This window comes from Homo sapiens, chromosome 11, assembly GCF_000001405.40.
Source record: "Homo sapiens chromosome 11, GRCh38.p14 Primary Assembly".
In the NCBI taxonomy this organism is placed as follows: Eukaryota; Metazoa; Chordata; class Mammalia; order Primates; family Hominidae; genus Homo; species Homo sapiens.
The window spans coordinates 87,856,776-87,875,366 of NC_000011.10; the positions used below are offsets into that span (position 1 = coordinate 87,856,776).

General features: G+C 35.1%; 1 protein-coding gene and 1 long non-coding RNA gene across 4 annotated transcripts in view; one reads left to right on the forward strand and one right to left on the reverse strand.

Annotated features, from left to right (window-relative positions):
* LOC107984361 (uncharacterized) overlaps positions 1 to 18,591 on the forward strand; it is a 552,293-nt gene that overhangs the window by 497,023 nt on the left and 36,679 nt on the right. Inside the window, exons 6-7 of one of the 2 annotated variants that reach the window (XR_002957260.2) lie at positions 12,960 to 13,083; positions 14,441 to 14,563. This is a non-coding gene — a long non-coding RNA (uncharacterized LOC107984361). The remainder of the gene's footprint in view (positions 1 to 12,959; positions 13,084 to 14,440; positions 14,564 to 18,591) is intronic. The other variant, XR_002957261.2, reaches the window with a different exon arrangement.
* RAB38 (RAB38, member RAS oncogene family) overlaps positions 1 to 18,591 on the reverse strand; it is a 371,729-nt gene that overhangs the window by 53,061 nt on the left and 300,077 nt on the right. The gene's annotated exons all lie outside the window — the stretch shown is intronic.

Sequence of the window (18,591 nt, forward strand, 5' to 3'; positions counted from 1 at the left end):
CTTGTAAATGAAATAAAGTATGTCATGAAACCTAGATCATCAAGGCTTATCTGTACTTGATTGAGGCAGGTGACTTCTTTAAAATTTTCTTTTTTTTAAAAATTATACTTTAAGTTCTAGAGTACATGTGCACAATGTGCAGGTTTGTTACATATGTATACATGTGCCATGTTGGTGTGCTGCACCCATTAACTCATCATTTACATTAGGTATATCTCCTAATGCTATCCCTCCCCGCTCCCCCCACCCCACGACAGGCCCCATTGTGTAATGTTCCCCTTCCCGTGTCCAAGTGTTCTCATTGTTCAATTCCCACCTATGAGTGAGAACATGTGGTGTTTGGTTTTTTGTCCTTGTGATAGTTTGCTGAGAATGATGGTTTCCAGCTTCATCCATGTCCCTACAAAGGACAGGAACTCATCATTTTTTATGGCTGCATAGTATTCTGTGATGCATATATGCCACATTTTCTTAATCCAGTCTATCACTGATGGACATTTGGGTTGGTTCCAAGTCTTTGCTATTGTGAATAGTGCCGCAGTGAACATTTGTGTGCATGTGTCTTTATAGCAGCATGATTTATAATCCTTTGGATATATACCCAGTAATGGGATGGCTGGGTCAAATGGTATTTCTAGTTCTAGATCCCTGAGGAATCGCCACACTGTCTTCCACAATCATTGAACTAGTTTACAGTCCCACCAACAGTGTAAAAGTGTTCCTATTTCTCCACATCCTCTCTAGCACCTGTTGTTTCCTGACTTTTTAATGGTCACCATTCTAACTGGTGTGAGATGGTATCTCATTGTGGTTTTGATTTGCATTTCTCTGATGGCCAGTGATGATGAGAATTTTTTCATGTGTCTTTTGGCTGCATAAATGTCTTCTTTTGAGAAGTGTCTGTTCATATCCTTCACCTACTTTTTGATGGGGTTGTTTGTTTTTTTCTTGTAAGTTTGTTTGAGTTCTTTGTAGATTCTGGATATTAGCCTTTTTCAGATGAGTAGATTGCAAAAATTTTCTCCCATTCTGTAGGTTGCCTGTTCACTCTGATGGTGGTTTCTTTTGCTGTGCAGAAGCTCTTTAGTTTAATTAGATCCCATTTGTCAATTTTGGCTTTTGTTGCCACTGCTTTTGGTGTTTTAGACATGAAGTCCTTGTCCATGCCTATGTCCTGAATGCTATTGCCTAGGTTTTCTTCTAGGGTTTTTATGGTTTTAGGTTTAACATTTAAGTCTTTAATCCACCTTGAATTATTTTTTGTATACGGTGTAAGGAAGGGATCCAGTTTCAGCTTTCTACATATGGCTAGCCAGTTTTCCCAGCACCATTTATTAAACAGGGAATCCTTTCCCCATTTCTTGTTTTTGTCAGGTTTGTCAAAGATCAGATGGTTGTAGGTGTGTCATATTATTTCTGAGGGTCCTGTTCTGTTCCATTGGTCTATATCTCTCTTTTGGTACCAGTATGCCTGGAATCAGCATTGGCCTACAATGCCGGGTGGAGCTCTCTGATCCCAGACCAGAACCTTTGGACTCACGTTGTCATTTCTTTTCTTTGGGGCTCTCTTTAATCCTCTACTCTGTGGTAGAGTTAACCAAATGCTCCAAGGAACTCTGGACTCATGCCTGTGTGTTCTTCCAAGAACCCAGTGGTTCCAGGAGGGTAGCCTGTCAAGCAGATTGTTCCTGAAGACCAGAAAGATATTTCATTCATGGGATCACATTAAATTAGAAAGCCATTACGGTTCTAGCATCCTTATTTGGGATAACTCAAATTATTTACAGACAGGTGCTCCACACAAAAAATTTATTCAAGACCCTAAAAACCTTAAGGAAATCTCAAATGCCATTGTATTAAGGTTAACAAATGAAATATAAAATATTTAATTTTGGGAAGACGCATAGAATTTACAAGGGATATATAGTATTTATAAAGAAAACAGGAAATGATGGACTGGTAACAATGGCATAGGAAGAAGGGATGTTGTTATATGTAGGTCATTGTCAAGGTCCTAACTTTAGTTTGCAGTGACGGATTTGCAGGTATTTATTAAACTGTGAAAAAAAATGACAATTCATTCATAAACCAATGGTGACAGTATACCATAAACAAGAAATATGATTAATAAAATTGTGTCCACCTGAGTCCAAAAAACAAAAATAAAAAGTAAAAAAAAAAAATAAGCAAAACAGAATAAAGCCAAGCAACAGACTTAGAATAAATAAAAATATAAAGAAGAACATAACAAATAATAAAAATAGCCTTTTGAATTACTGGAAAAGAATAGACTCTTTAATAAATAGCTTTAGCACAATTAACTATTCATCACAATACCTCACAATATACACTTGAATAAATTCTAAATGTTTTAAAAGAAAATAGTAAAATAAAATTTTAAAAATAGGAAAAATAAAAATTTAAGAATGTTTATACGCCATTGAGAAGACAAAAAATTAATCTGTCAATTACAAAGAAATAATTAGCAGATGTCCCTAGATTTTAACAATTTAAAATTTGACTTAAAACCTTGGTATGACTAGTTATAAATAATGTTTCAAGAAAAAGGGTGGTTTGTAAAAAAATGTATGCACTCTAATATAATGAAGGGAAAATTTATAGGATATATGAAGATAATCAGAAAAATCATAAATGACCTAATAGAAAAATAGGAGAAATGTATGCACAGTTAAGACACCTTGATGGTTGGAGGTTTGTGATTGTTTAAATTGGTAGCATTGATGGAAGCGCAATTTGCCAATATATATAATAATTTTAATCGCACATACCTTTAAATGGCCTGGCAATTATATTCCTATCAGCATTAGTAAGATATCTTTTGGTTGTGATTGAGAGAAAAGCTAACAAAGTGGCTTAGGCAGCAAAAGGAAATTTACTGGCTCGCATCATTGTAAAGTCCAGAGCTAGTTCTTGTTGGCATCAGAAACATCTTGTTTCAGGGATTAACAATAGGTCAACAGGGCTTACTTCTTTTTCTGCTTCTTGGCTCTGCTTCCACTATTTTGGCTCCATTCCCAGACAGGTTCATTCATGGTAGTGGCAGAAAGATTTTAGTGCTTTCAACATTGTATTGTAACAAGCTTACAGTCAGCAGAAAATATTGTTTCTCTTTCTTCCAAATTAAGAGAAAGCCATGGTGCTTATGGGCCAGATGTGTCATGTGCCCATCTGCAAACCAAACTATGTGTCTGTGGTATAGAATACTTAAAGTGGCATCAGCCTAAAGCTCATGCTCCTCCCTAACTGGGTAGGATCTTCCCTGAATTACTTAGCAGGGCGATGGAGGAGATTCTAACAAAGGTGATTTAGATTCCATTACTAAAAAATAGATGCTTGATGGGCCAGTGTCTTAAAGTGCTCACTATACTAGAGAAAGGAATCATAAGGATGTTCATCATATAATTATAGTAACTATAAATAAGAGCAATACTAAATATGCATCAATAAAGCAACATGACTTTAGTTTAACCCAGTGAAATCTAATTGTATTGGCTTAGGAAAAAAATCTCTTAACTTACAGAATTAAGTGAAATGATAATATTGCCAAATAACATAAACAGAATGGCCCTATTTCTGTAAAAATTAAATTATAACTTGTAAAGTTACATTTATATGCAATGTATACAAAGTTTACAGAATAATTGATATCAAACTTCAACACTAATGACTTTTAGAGAAGAGAGTGGACAATTGAAAGGATAAGATAAAGTGAGATATTTACTTTCATTGCGAATACGTTTTTATTGTATCTAATTTTATAAGGAAGTATATAAATAAAATTCATACATAAATATTAAAATGAATTGAAACCTTTGTAAATAGAAAGAATATGGAGTTATCTGCTGAGTGACCGATTGTTTCACTAAGCTGATTTAAAATAATGCTAGGGAAATAATACAAATGAAAAAAACTTCAAATTGTTTTGATAGAGATAATAAAATAAGTAACATCTGGACTTTTTATTTTCAGGGTCAAATGTGAAAGCTAATTTTTTTTTATTTTTATTTTACAAGTCAGAGCTGTTTCCATAATGAGTTGGAGATTTTTGGAGAAAGGAGCTGTATGTTATAATTTAAAGTAAGGATTCCACTTTATATGTCATATATGTTTTATAAGGCCGAGATATCAGTTCAAAAGAAGCCCCCATCTCAGCAACATAAATTCTGCTAAAATTAAAGCTAGAACAAAAATCAAATTTATGGTGAAACTTTGCTGGAAGAAAGGTGAAATTATTCACGCTTTATAAAATCTTTAGGAGAACAACGTCCCAAAGAAATCAGCAGTTTACAAATGGATAACTTGTTGTAAGAAGGGACAAGACAATATTGAAAATAAAGCCCACAGCTGCAGACTGTCCACGTTAATTTGCATGGAAAAAGGCCATCTTATTCATGCCCTAATTGAAGAAGATGGATGCTTAACAGCACAAACAATAGCCAACACCATACACATCTCAGTTGGTTCAGGTTACACAGTTCCGACTGAAAAATTAAAGTTGAACAATGGGTGCCAAAATGGTTTCACTCAGATCAGCTGCAGACAAAAGCAGAGCTTTCAGTGGAAGTTTTAAACATGTGAAAAATCAAGATACAGAAGCATTTTTTTCAAAGACTTATAATCAGGGATGAAACAAAGCTTTACCAGCACAATCCTGAAGACAAATCACAATCAAAGCAATGGCTACCAACAGGTGAAAGTGGGCTAGTCAAAGCAAACAAAAGCCAGTCAAGAGCAAAGGTCAGGGCAACAGTTTTTTGAGATGCTCAGGGCATTTTGCTTGTTGACTTTCTAGAGGGCCAAAAAGTGATACTATCTGATTATTATAAGAGTGTTTTGAGAAAGCCAAAATTTTAGCAGAAAAGGACCCAGGACACCCTCATAGCGAGTCCTCCACCGCAACAATGCTGCTGCTTATTCCTTTCATCAAACATGGGACATTTTGCAAAAATTTCAATGGGAAATCATTAGACACCCAACTTACATTCCTGATTTGGCTCCTTTTAACTTATTTTGTGTTTCCTAGTCTTAAAAAAGCATCAATTTTTCCTCAGTTAATAACGTACAACAGACTGCATTTATATGGTTATATTCCCAGGACCCTCATCATATGAAAACAAGCTCAACATCACTAATCATTAGAGAAATGCAAATCAAAACCACAGTGAGATACCATCTCACACCAGTCAGGATGGCTACTACTAAAAAGTCAAAAAATAACAGTGGCTGGCAAGGTTGTGGAGAAAAAGGAATGCTTACACACTGTTGATGGGAATGTAAATCAGTTAAACTATTGTGGAAGACAGTGTGGCAATTCCTCAAAGACCTAAAGACAAATACCATTTGACCCAGCAATACCATTACTGGGTATGTTCAGAAAGGAATATCAATTGTCTATATACAGACACATGCACGGATATGTTCATTGCAGCCCTATTCACAATAGCAAAGACATAGAATCAACCTAAATGCCCATGAACAATAGACTGGATAAAGAAAATGTGGTACGTATACACCATGGAATACTATGCAGTCATAAAAAGGAAGGAGATCATGTCCTTTGCTGGGGCATGGATGGGGGTGGAGGCCGTTATCCTTAGCAAATTAACACAGCACAGCAAACCAGATATGGAATGTTCTCACTTACAAGTGGAAGCTAAATTATGAGAACACATGGACACATAGAAAGGAACAACACACACTGGGGCCTATCAGAGGGTAGAGGGTGGGAGGAGGGAGAGGATCAGGAAAAACAACTAATAGGTACTGGGCTTAATATCTGGGTGATGAAATAATCTGTACAACAAACCCCCACAACACAAGTTTACCTATGTAACAAACCTGCACTTGTACCCCTGAACTTAAACAAAAGTTAAATAAAAACTAAAAAATAAGATTAATAATGCTGATCTTTAAATAAATGTGCAAGGATTCAGTATATCACATATAAACCTTGACCCAATATACTAAGTAAATGTTTACAATTTTTTTAAAAAAGATAGACTAAATGGCCGGTATTATCACTTACAAAAGTGTCTTGAACTTGAAGGAACTAATGTTGATAAATAAAGTTTACATTAAAATAAATAAATAAAGCCTTTAACTTGATTAATGAATAAACCATTACCTGTAAAGCACATATTTTTAAATAGCAGTCACTCTAATTTAGTAATTCATTTATATGCAGTCCATCTGCACTAATCACTGAGCTTCTCTAGGACACAGGCTGAATGTTATTTAATATACTTCTCTAGTGTCTTGAACATAGCCTGGTGTATAGAAAATGTTTAATGTTGATGGGTGGATGAATGAATAGGAAGAAGTGAGAAAAGAATGAATAGTAGATGAGCGGGACTAGAATGGTCTTCCAATGTTAAAAAGATCTGAATTCAAATATCAGTTCTGCAAAATAAAAGCTTTGTGACTTTAGGTAAATTATTTCTCTGATTCTTATTTCCTCATCTTTAAAATAGAAAATAATCTTGCTTTTATAAGGGGGAGAGAAGGATTAAAGATAATAACATACTGAAAGTGTCAAGTACCCCAAAAGTACCCAACTTATGGCAAATGACAATAGCTGTTAGTTTTCTTTCTTCCTTCTGTACTCTTTTCATAAGACAACCACAGAGTATTGTGTCTCACACTTCACCAGCAAGCATGAAGTGGGTAGTGGGCTGGAGAGGGAGGTTACAACCACTGGGTGGTGAAAAGTCCCAGTTTCAGACCTAGGACAGAATTTGCAGAAATACATGAAAACAGAAACAGAAGGCAGGACTCTGTTTGGCGCATGATAGTGTAAATAAGACAGTGCTCTAAATAAAAACCTGGAGACCTAAAGCTAGACTTTTAGGCCTCCTCAAAGTTTATCATTCATTGCTTGATAGAATCACTTTCTGCTTGATCCCGTATTTTTAAACCATCTTTCTATCTATATTAAAGACACTCGTAATAAAGTGTATAGCTCTTAAATCTTTAGATGAGCATAGTTTACTATGCAACCTAGCCTCACTGACTTCACTCGCCTAAAATCCTTGTAGAATTTACTAAAAATGTCTAAGCATAATGTGAAAACCCTTTAAATTAAATAATACAGTGCTTTTTCCTATAAATGAGTGCTGCCCCATGGGCTAATATGTATCTTCCTATTCAGTGCAAAGCGGTTACCACCCCCTCTACTACCAAGGCTGAGCAGATGAACCTAGTAGAGCTTTGCTGGGTGTGGTGGTCGTGATCACGGTAAAAATCTACCCTTTATCTTTCCCACATGCCACAATACATGTGGGCTTTGAGAGAGTAACTCTTGCTCCAAAGATGAAGCTAATTATTCTTAACCAGGGCTTCTACAAAAGTCCCTCATAGGTAGATATGTGGACATTTTGGAAATGACACCCTACGAGAAAACATTACCAAAACTTCTTTCTTAGTTGTGTCAGTCCCCTCATTATTCCACTCTCAAGGCTGGTGAAATCACAATGCTCATATAATTAATAAACTATACTATACTATGCTGTACTATATTATAATTATTTATATTAATATGTTATATATTATATCATATAATGTTGATACAATTCTCCCTCTACTGGGCCTACTCAATACATGTACATTATTACTAATATTATTAGCAGTAGTAGTAGCAGTATTTTACCTCATAATTTACATACATCATTTAATTTAGCCTTTGCAACTATCTTGTCAGAAAGCCTCAAACATAATATTCTTGTTTCATGTTTTCTTGGAATATCATGGTTTTCAGGTATAATATGAATTATCTTACTTTTTTGACAGCAAATGTAATATTTTATCCTTTAATTAGGTGAGGGGACTGAGGCTCAAAAAAATAAAATAATTTTCCCAAAGCCACATAGCTAGTGAGTGTCAGACTAGAATATGATACCAGTTATTTGGAATTCTAATTTATATTCTTCCCTCAACACTACATGGGTGAAAGAATAATGGAAGACTTTCAAATATTGAAAGAAACGAGTTAGACAAAGTATAAAATATTGTTAGATGGTGGTAAGAGAAAAATAGAGTTTAACTTAATATCGCAGACGAGCAGTTCTCAGTGAGGTTGCTCATCACCTAAACAAACTTCCAGAGATAACTTAGCAGAACATCTATCCAGCTTCTGTATTTGAAAGGTTAGATTTTCTACCTTATAATTTGATTGAGTAAACAGGACCATTCTCTTGTCATCTACGCTTTGCGATTTGTTTGACAAAATGAGAGTCACTTATTTTTACTGCACGTAATATGAGGAGAGACTGATGTGTTCCTGTAAGAGGGTCACCAGAAAGGAAGACCAAGAACAGGGAAGGATGGAGGAAATGGGGGAAAAGGGAAGATGAACTTGAAGAAATGGGGTATAATGGACTGAATAACATCCCCCGAAGATGTCCATATACTCATGCCTGGAACCTGTGAATGTGCTACTTAATGAAAGGATTTTGTAAATATGATTAAAGTAAGGATCTTGAAGTGTCAAATTATGCTGGATTATCCAGGTGGTCTCCAGGTAATCACAAGGGTCTTTATAAAAGGGAAGCAGAAAAATCAGAAGGAAAAAATAAAAGGAAATAAACAAAGGTCATAGAGGAGAGAAGATGCTATACTCCTGGCTTTGAAGATGGAGGAAGTGGTCACAATCAAAGAATTCTGGCTCATGCGTACCTAGAAGTTTGAAAAGGTGAAGTAAGGGTGTCTCCCTCCCTAGAGTCTCCCATAGGAACCCAGACGCTTAATTTTAGCCCAGTGAAACTGATTTTGGACTTCTGACTTCAAAACCGTGAGATGAAATATGTTGCCTGAAGCCACTAACTTTGTGGTGATTTGTTAGATCAGCAATGGGAAGCTAATACATGATCAAGAAAGGAGGACATGAAGAAAAGAGAAGGTAGAGAAGAAAAGAAGGAAAAGAGAAGGAAGGAAGAAAAGAAGAGAGAGATTGAGAAATTGTGAGAGTCCGCAGACTTGGAAAACCAGTCAGGGTAAATATATGACAGAAAGAGGAAGGGGATTTGTAGTCACTAGAATTTCTCTCAGGAGAATATTGCATGTGTCAGGTTATATCTCAGGGACTATGTTGGTGCAACAGCAGATGGCCCCTAATCTTTATCTTTTTAGTCTTGGAAAGAAGGAAACAGAGAGGCAGTTACAGATACACTGAATAAATATTCACAATAAATTATTTGTTAGCCTTTGCAATAGAAAATATTATCAATTTTATAGAAGAGAATTCGGAGTCTCAGAAAGTATGAATGAACAATGGAGTCAGTATTCCAAACCAGATTGATCTTCCTCTAGAATGAGGAGTTAAAGTAACTGAAAAGGAGAAAAGTAGGAAGGACAAGGATAACCAGAGCAGGGAGAGTGTGGGGCATAGGGGATCAGGGTGGGAAGACAGATAGAGAATAAATGGCTTAGAGTTACTGATGTGCTTGCTAGAATTTTGAGGACAGAGATAAGCAGCAAACAAATATCAAGATTTCTGGGCCTCTATATGTACATTAATTTGTGGCAAGTTCTCTGGCAAGCACTAATACTACTCCATGGGCAATATCTTTCCAATAGAGACTCTTCCGGTACCATTGCTTTCCATGGCATTGCTTTATTCTTCATTCACTTCTCTTTATAAACATGTTTATCAGGCACAAATAAGTCAATCCTACTTTGACTCTATTTTTACCTTTCTATCATAACTGAAATGAGCTGAATTCTATTATTGATTTTAGCTGCTTTCTGGAGTCTTGGCTCTGCCTCTGTGATGTATACTTATCGACAGAACTACCTTTTACCAAACCTGCTTTTCATTTTTTCTTGTCTCTGTTCATTCCATTTCAGTAAATGTATATTGAACTCCTACCGTGTGCCATATAGTGGGCAAGGTGGTGGAACTTAAACTAATTGGGATAATAGGTAGTTAGTTATGGAAGCTCCTCTGATCCCCAAGCCAAAATATGAAGAGCTGATTTGTGCTCACAGAATGACTTCGACATGCCCAGAATGGAAGAGGGTCACAGCAAGGAGCATTCAACTGAACATAGAGAGTCAGGAAAGCTTCTGGCATGGGCTGGATTTTGCTGTGGAGACTTGGTCAAGTTGGAGGCTATGTTTTACCAAACACCTTTCCCTATAGAGTTCTAGGGTAGAGTTGGATAAATGAGAAACATGCAAAATATTTGGGAGGCAGAAGTAAATCTGTGGCCATTGCCTTGGAAGGTATTTGAAATCAGTTATGATGATGGTTGAATACAGACATAACTGGGTGGAGCCAACCTGTTCTTGCTCTTCTCTGGTTTGCATCCAGCTCAGCTTTCTGAATGCTGGTTGTCCAGATGAACAGAAATCCAGGCCCACTACCACATGCTTGGCAGCAGACCAGAAGATATTTTAGCTCTGTAGCTAATTGGGATAATACCTCTCAGGGTAAATTTTAGAGTTCAGTGGGCACCATAGTAGCCAAACAGTGATCCAAATTGTTATTTCATCTTTAAAGACTAACATTTTGTCTCCACGAGGCAGTTTTAATCTCAGTGTTTAGATCTTGGGGGACATTAGATACAAGACAGAAAAATTAAAATGCCATAAAGAAGGAAAGAATCCATTGTAATGGGAGAGTCTTCTAGGCAAAACTTAATCTAAAAGTCATTTAACCTTTAGCTAAAAACCAAATCTACTTTAGGATAGTCACAACAACTATTCATAGGCTTTTCTGGAAATTGTAAGTAGAAGACATTGGTGGAGCTTCCTGACATTCAAGAATTGGACTTTATGATTATCTCAAAATTGCACAGATGTGGGTAATAAATAACAATTGGGAGATTTGGTAATAACCAGAGAACTAGAACCATAATTGAAAGTCTGAAATTGAGAAAGACAGCCTCTGCATTTTATGACTATGAACACTTAATATTTAACTAGTGCTTACCCTGTATCAGATACTATTCTGTGTGTTTTAAATGTATCAATTAATTGAATTACCATGGACTCTTAACAGGTAAGTGAAATTTTTACGTTTATACCACAGATGAAGAAACTAAGATCCAGAGAGTTAAATCACTTACCTCAACTCAGTGAGCTAGTAAACGGCAGAGATAAGATCCAAACCCAAGTCACCTGGCCCTAATCTGAGTGACACTATGTATTGTCTCACACTTTATGAAACAGAATACTTAAGAGTTATGAACAAAGATGCTGAAACCCTTCACAGTTGATATGTCAAGATTGATACATGGAAATGATCAGTATCACATAGAATATCTTGAAATGTGGAACATTATGTTCTATAGCTTGGATATGAGTGTCCCTGAAAATCTCATGTTGGAGTTTGATCCCCAGTGCTGGAGTTGAAGCCTAATGGGAGGTGTTTGGGTCATGGGGGCAAATCCTTCATGAATGACTTGATTCCATCTTTGAGGTAGTGAGTGAGTTCTCATTCTATTGGTTCCCACAAGAGCTGTTGTTAAAATGAGCCTGGCACCTCTTTCCTCTTTCTCTTGCTTCCTCTCTCACCATGTGATCTGTGCACGTCAGCTCCTGTTCACCTTCCAGCATGAGTGGAAGCAGCCTGAAGCCCTCAACAGAAGCAGATGTTAGTGCTATGCTTCTTGTCAAGCCTGAAAAACCATGAGCCAATAAACTTCTTTTCTTTATGAATTACCCAGCTTCAAGTATTCTTTTACAGCAACACAAATGGACTAAGACATTATGTGACAAAGAATGTGGCAACAGAAATGAAAATGAAAGGTGATCCAGATCAGGGCTAAAATGATAAGGAGTGAGGGAGAGAGAGAGAGAGAGAGAGAGAGAGAGAGAGAGAGAGAGAGAGAATGAGAATAAACAAAAAAGGGATAATTTAATTTGGAGGATAGACACACAACTAGGCCATATACTCCTAGCACAGGATTTCCCTGCTACTGAATAGATCCAACTGAGGAAGGATGCTAGTTGTTGGGGACATAATTGTTGGTACCCTGCCCCCATCCTCTCTTCTGGCTGGTGTACCATCCCAGCTGCTTTGAGTGTTGCCTCCTTCTCAGGAGAATTACCTCCCACAAGACAGGAAGGCCTGTTTCATTCCTACCTTCTTCAGGTCTGTATGCTGTCACCAATGTCTAACTGCCTAGATGGTAACAAAGGCCACTCCCTGGCCCAAAGGTGAAACCAAGACTGGAACTGTTTGTGCTCCAGAGATTCCCACAAAAAACAGACTGCCGTGACTTTCTAGCTGAGAACTTGCTCTTGATTCACTTTTTCTACTGCCTTATCCTGTTATCTTATTCTGGTATCAGAATCTAGGGAGCAAAACCATAAAACAAACCATTTTAAATGTCACTATCATCATCACTTATATTTTTGTGGCAAACTGTCCTTTACTGCTGTCTGCTGAATGATCATCTGCTCTCTCATCAACCAAATCACAAGGTCAGCTACTACTTTTCAGATGACTTATTATACTCCAGGCACTGGGATAAGCGTTTAACATCTATCTCATTTAATCTTCCTAACACTCATGTGGTGAGTATTATTATCCTAAACTTAAATATTAGAAAACTGAGATTCAGAGAAATTAAATGAGCACTCATAGTTTCTTGGTCAGTATTCCTTGAGAGCCTGAATAAGAACCCGGCTCACTCACCCCAAATTACTGCTCTGCTTACTCTACTATAGTGCATCTGTATCCTGTAAACAGGTCTGCATTAACACAAGTATCAAATCATTTTGGAAAATGCAATAATTTTATAGTTATTGGATAAATCACAGCAGCAGGTGGAGTGCTATTGTTGAAAAAGTATATTTTAGGTCTGTAGTCCTCGTTTTTACTATATTCAAGTATTTGTGAAGTTTTGAACTGAAAAAAATAACTTTAGGGTTCTTTCAAGAGTATCCCAATAATAACATTGTAATTGTTTGTTTGTATTCCCTTATGTTTTCTTCAGTTGGAGACATCCCATCTACACAACACAGCCCAAATGATCAGCTGCATTCCTGCAGAGCCATCTCTTCAGTATATACAAATGAAGGAGATGAGCAGTATTATTTTATTACCACATTCACAAAAGGGTATGCCTGTTGCCAATCAAAGCAACTCAACTAAGCTAACACTTACAAAAGTTCTATAGATATGTTAAAAGTCAGAAAATTCTAAAATTCATTATAATGTGTCTAATTTATAAAACCCATTATAACTCTTACAATAAAATAAATTATATTCATACTTATGCTTAAATTATGTAATATTGTTCATCTTAATATTACCTGTAGAATAGAAGTCTGGAAACATATAAGATGTTTTTAAAATTAATACTATTTAGTTTAGTCATAATATTATCTAGCCTTTTAAAGTAAATACTTAGTTGGGACTGATTTTATTATTCACATGCTCACAACAAATCTTTTTTATGAGCACCTCATTAAAGAGAAAATATTTTTGTGGGGCTGTTTACTGTACTTCCTTTCAAAAGCTTTCACAGTTCTGTGAAAATATCTGTATATGCCCACAATGTCAGACACACGGATATCATCCACTGTGACTCATCGTGAAAATGGCTCAGAATCACTGGAACAGACTTAAACAAAACTAATATAGGTCTTATGTTTGTGATGCAGATATTCATGTCCATTTTCATTCTTAATTCAAATTTTAAGAAATTCTTTTTGTCAAATAAAAAAAAAATCATTTCAGAGTCTACACACATTTCTCATCAGGGGTCCGTGACTTTTCCTTACTGTGGCCTTTGGCTTTTCTGGCCATACTAAATTTGTTTCTTTATTCTTGTTTTTAGTTCGGTGTTTCTAAGCTAAAATAGCTCCTATTTGTATTATCAACTAATGTGTGACATTAAGAAGATGCCCACATAAATTGGAGCAGGAAAGTGATAACTCAAGCAAGGATAGAACACAATTGCTTCTGTCCTCTGCCCAAGCGAATTTTTAATAGAAATAGACTTATATTCTGGGATTGGAAGAGGAAAGAGGGGGTTGAAAGTGACAACCTTATCATCATATGGGACTTAGTCTGGTGTTTGTGTATGGAATAACTATCATTGTACATTTGTGCATTATGTTCAGACCAAATGAAAACCATATTTTTTCATTTGCAGTGCAATATTTAATCCTGCATCTTATGCAATTGAATTTTTTATATCACACATAGCATTATGTTGTGTTTTAGTATGTCATGCAAAATGTTAAAATATTTTTATAGCCATATTTTATGTACAAACTATTCCATTTGTTTCAAACTTTAATCTGGATGCAAACACTGGGTTTAATATGTAATATGTAAAAATTAAAGCAAACAAATTTGAGAAAATTATTTTTATGTTTAGTTGATTTCACCTGAGGGTCTAAACATGATTCAAGTTTGTTGTTAGTCTGTTTGTCAAAGCATGTCATTGTATATTCTGATTGCCTCCAGGACAAGCTGTGAAATGCCTAGATTCCAGAGCAACAGACTGTGATCCATTCCCAACAACCCCTCCCTACCGTCTGCCACCAGTTCCCTTAAAGCAGGAATCAGAGCTAGACTGACTCAACTAAGGTAAGAAGTGAGGCTTCATGTGAAAAAGACTACAGCTACAAAACAAATTCTCAAATATATGTTACGTGATAAGATTTTGAACTTGACCCAGAAGTTTGTGGTGTACACACAAATACAAATACACATGCACACAGTCATATACCTATGTTTAAAATTCTTTTTAGTGCTTTCCAGTTAAAAGCATAAATTAGTCCATAAAAAGCTTGCATATTTTAAAGTATAATTTTATAAAAATATAAATATAGAAAAGTAGTGTGTCATAAGTATGTAGATAAATGATTTTCCACAAAATATAATGGAACATTATCAATATCCTGGAAAAATGCTTTATTCTCTCTCCTAGCTACTACATTTTCCCTGTGGCTAACAAATATTCTAACTGCTAACACCATGAATTAGGGTTGACTGTTTTTGAAATTTATATAAGTAGAAGCATATAATATATGCTGCATTTTTGTTGCCTAACATTCTGTGAATTTTTTCCATGACTTCTGCGTAGCAATGGTTTACCTATTTTCATTACATTCCACTGAATGAACATACCCCATATTAACCATTCTATTACTGATACTGATTATTGTTTCCACCGTTGACTATTACAAATAATGCTACCTGTATTTTAGTGAATATATGTACATATTTTTGTTGGATATATATACATCAAAGAACAGAACTCCAGAGTCATAGGCTCAGCTTTATAATATAGTGGTTAATACTTTACCAAATTGGTTGTATGAATTTACATTTCTACCAACAGTATCTGAGAGTTCTATTTACCTGCTGTCTTCACTGACACTTGTTTGTCATTCATTTTTGCCATTCTGGTGTGCATTTAGTAGTAAGCCATTGAATACATTATCATATGCATATTGGCCATTGAAATACCCTTTTCCGTTTCCCATGAAGAGACTATTCAGCTTTTTGTCCATTTTTAAATTGGATTTTTTCCTATAGACTATATTTTTAGAGCAATTTTAGGTACACAACAATTGAGTGGAAAGTATGAATAGTTCCCATATGCTTTCTCGTCTCACATACGCACAGCCTCCCCCACCATCAACATCCTGCACCTGGGTAGTACATTTGTTACAACTGATACCAACACTGACATGTCATTATAAATTAAAGTCCAAAGTTTACATTAGCGTTCACTCTTAATTTACGTTCTATGGGTTTTGACAAATGTGTAGTGATATATATCCACTATTATGGTATCAGAAAAGTTTCACTGCCCTAAAAATCCCCTGTGCTATACCTATTCATTCCTCCCTGCCCTCTAACCCTGGAAATCACTGATTACTGTCTCCATAGTTTTACCTTTTCTAGGATATCATATGGTTGGAATCTTTTATTTCATTTTACTTAATAGTATTTAGCCTTTTCAGATTTGCTTCTTTCATTTAGTAATATGCATTTAAGGTTGTTTCACAACTCTTTGTGGTTTGATAGCTCAGAACTTTTAATGCTAGATAATATTCTGTTGCATGAATGTGTCCCAGATTATTTATCCATTCACCCTCTAAAGGACGTATTGTTTACTTCCAAGTTTTGGCAATTATGAATGAGGCTGCTATAAACATTTATGTGTGACTTGTGTATGGATGTAAGTTTTCAACTCATTTCCACAAATAATTTGAACACAATTACTGAATCGCATAGTAAAAATATGATTAGTTTTGTAAGAACCTCCAGATTGTCTTCCATCATAGTTGTGCAACTTTGTATTCCCACAAAAAATGAGAGTTCCTGTTCCTCCACATTCTCATTAGCACCTGGTGTCAATGTTTTCAATTTTTGACAGTCTAACAGGTACGTAATAATATCTCATGGTTGTGTCAATTTGCAATCCCTTAGTAATATATGATGTTGAGCATCTTTTCATATGCTTACTTGTTATCTGTATATCTTCTTTGATAAGGTATCTATTCAGATATTTTACCCAGTTTTAATATTTGTTTTCTTATTATTGGGTTAAAACTTAAGGCTTCTTTGCATATTTTGGATAACAGTCCCTCATCAAATATGTCTTTTGCAAATATTTTCTTTCAGTCTCTGGCTTGTTTTCTCATTCTCTTGACAGTATTTTTTGCAGAGCAGAAGTTGTTATTATTTAGTGATGAGGTTCAACTTATCAATTATTTCATTCATGGATTATGCCACTGGTGTTGTATCTAAAAAGTAATCACCAAACCCAACCCAAAGTCATCTAGATTTTCTCCTATGTTATGTTCTGGGAGTTTCATAACTTTGCATTTACATTTAAGACTATAATCCATTTTGAATTAATTTTCTGCAATGGGAATAAAGTCTGTGTCTAGATTTTGTTTTGCATGTGGACATCCAGTTGTCCTGGCACCATTTATGGAAAAAAATATCCTTTTTCCATTGAATTGTTTTTGCTTCTTTGTCAAAGATCAGTTGACTCAATTTGTATTATATTTCTTTCTTAACTCTCTGTTATAAATTTGGTTTAAAATTGAATATGTTTACTTTTCTTTCTTATTGATTTGCCAGTGTATAGGGGTGTGTGTGTGTGTGTATATATATGTGTGTGTATATATATATATATATGTGTGTGTGTGTGTATATATATATATATATATATATATATACTCTGCATAATAGTTCTTTGTCAGGTCTACATATGACAGATATCTCAATCTGTGGTTTCCCTTTTTATTTTCTTTGTGTTACTTTTTGATGAACAGAAGTTACAAATATAATTAAGTCCAATTCGACAATATTCTTTATGTGAATGCTTCTTGGTCCTGTTAAATGAATCTTTCCCTACTCCTTGTTCATAGAGAAATTTTTTTATGTTTACTTCTATTTTTTCACCATTTGCATTATGATCTATGACCTATCTAGAATCAGTTATTGCACATTGTTCATATTGTGTGAAGTACCATTGTTTCACTTATTAAAATACTGATATCAACAACAAAGGAAACAATAAAGTGAAGAGAAAATCACAGAATGGGAGAAAATATTTGCAAGCCATACATCTGATAATACCCCAAATATATAAAGCACCGAAACAATTCAGTATCAAGAAAACAAATAACTCAATTAAAAAATGGGCAAAGGACCTGAACAGATACCTTTTAAAGACATAGAAATGGCTTACAGGAAGGGGAACATCACACACCGGGGCCTGTTGTGGGGTCGGGGGAGAGGGGAGGGATAGCATTAGGAGGTATACCTAATGTAAATGATGAGTTAATGGGTGCAGCACACCAACATGGCATATGTATACATATGTAACAAACCTGCACGTTGTGCACATGTACCCTAGAACTTAAAGTATAATAAAATATATATATAAAATAATAAAATAAAATAAAATAAATTAAAAAATGCTCAGCATCCATAATCGTTAGGGAAATGCAAATTAAATCCACAAAGAGATATCACCTTACATCTGTTAAAAATACCTTTTATCAAAAAGATAAAAGATAAGCATTAGTGAAGATGAGGAGAAAAGGGGGAACCCTTGCAGGTTGCTGGTGGGAATGTAAATTAATACAACCATTGTGGGAAATGGTATGGGGGTTCCTCAAAAAATTAAAAATAGAACTACCATATGGTCCAGTCATCCCACTTCTGGGTATATATTCAAAGGAGTTGAAATCAATATGTTGAAGGGATACTTATACTGCCATACTTATTTCAGCATTATTCACAATAACCAAGATATGGATCTGTTGTTGATCAAAGATTACAAAGTTTCAGATAGACAGGAGGAATAATCTTTTAGATCTTGTGCACTGTAGGGTGACTCTAGTCAATAATAATGTATATTTTAAAATAATTCAGAGAGTAAATTTTAAATGTCTTAGAATAAAAAATGATAGGTAAGTTAAGTGGTGGATTGGTTAATTAGCTTGATTCAATCATTCCACATTATATACATATATACAATATATAAAACATTATATTGCAGTCCACAAATGTATGCAATTATGATTTATCAATTAAAAATAAAATTAATTATAAGTAAAGGTGAGAAAAATAAAATAAAATATTGA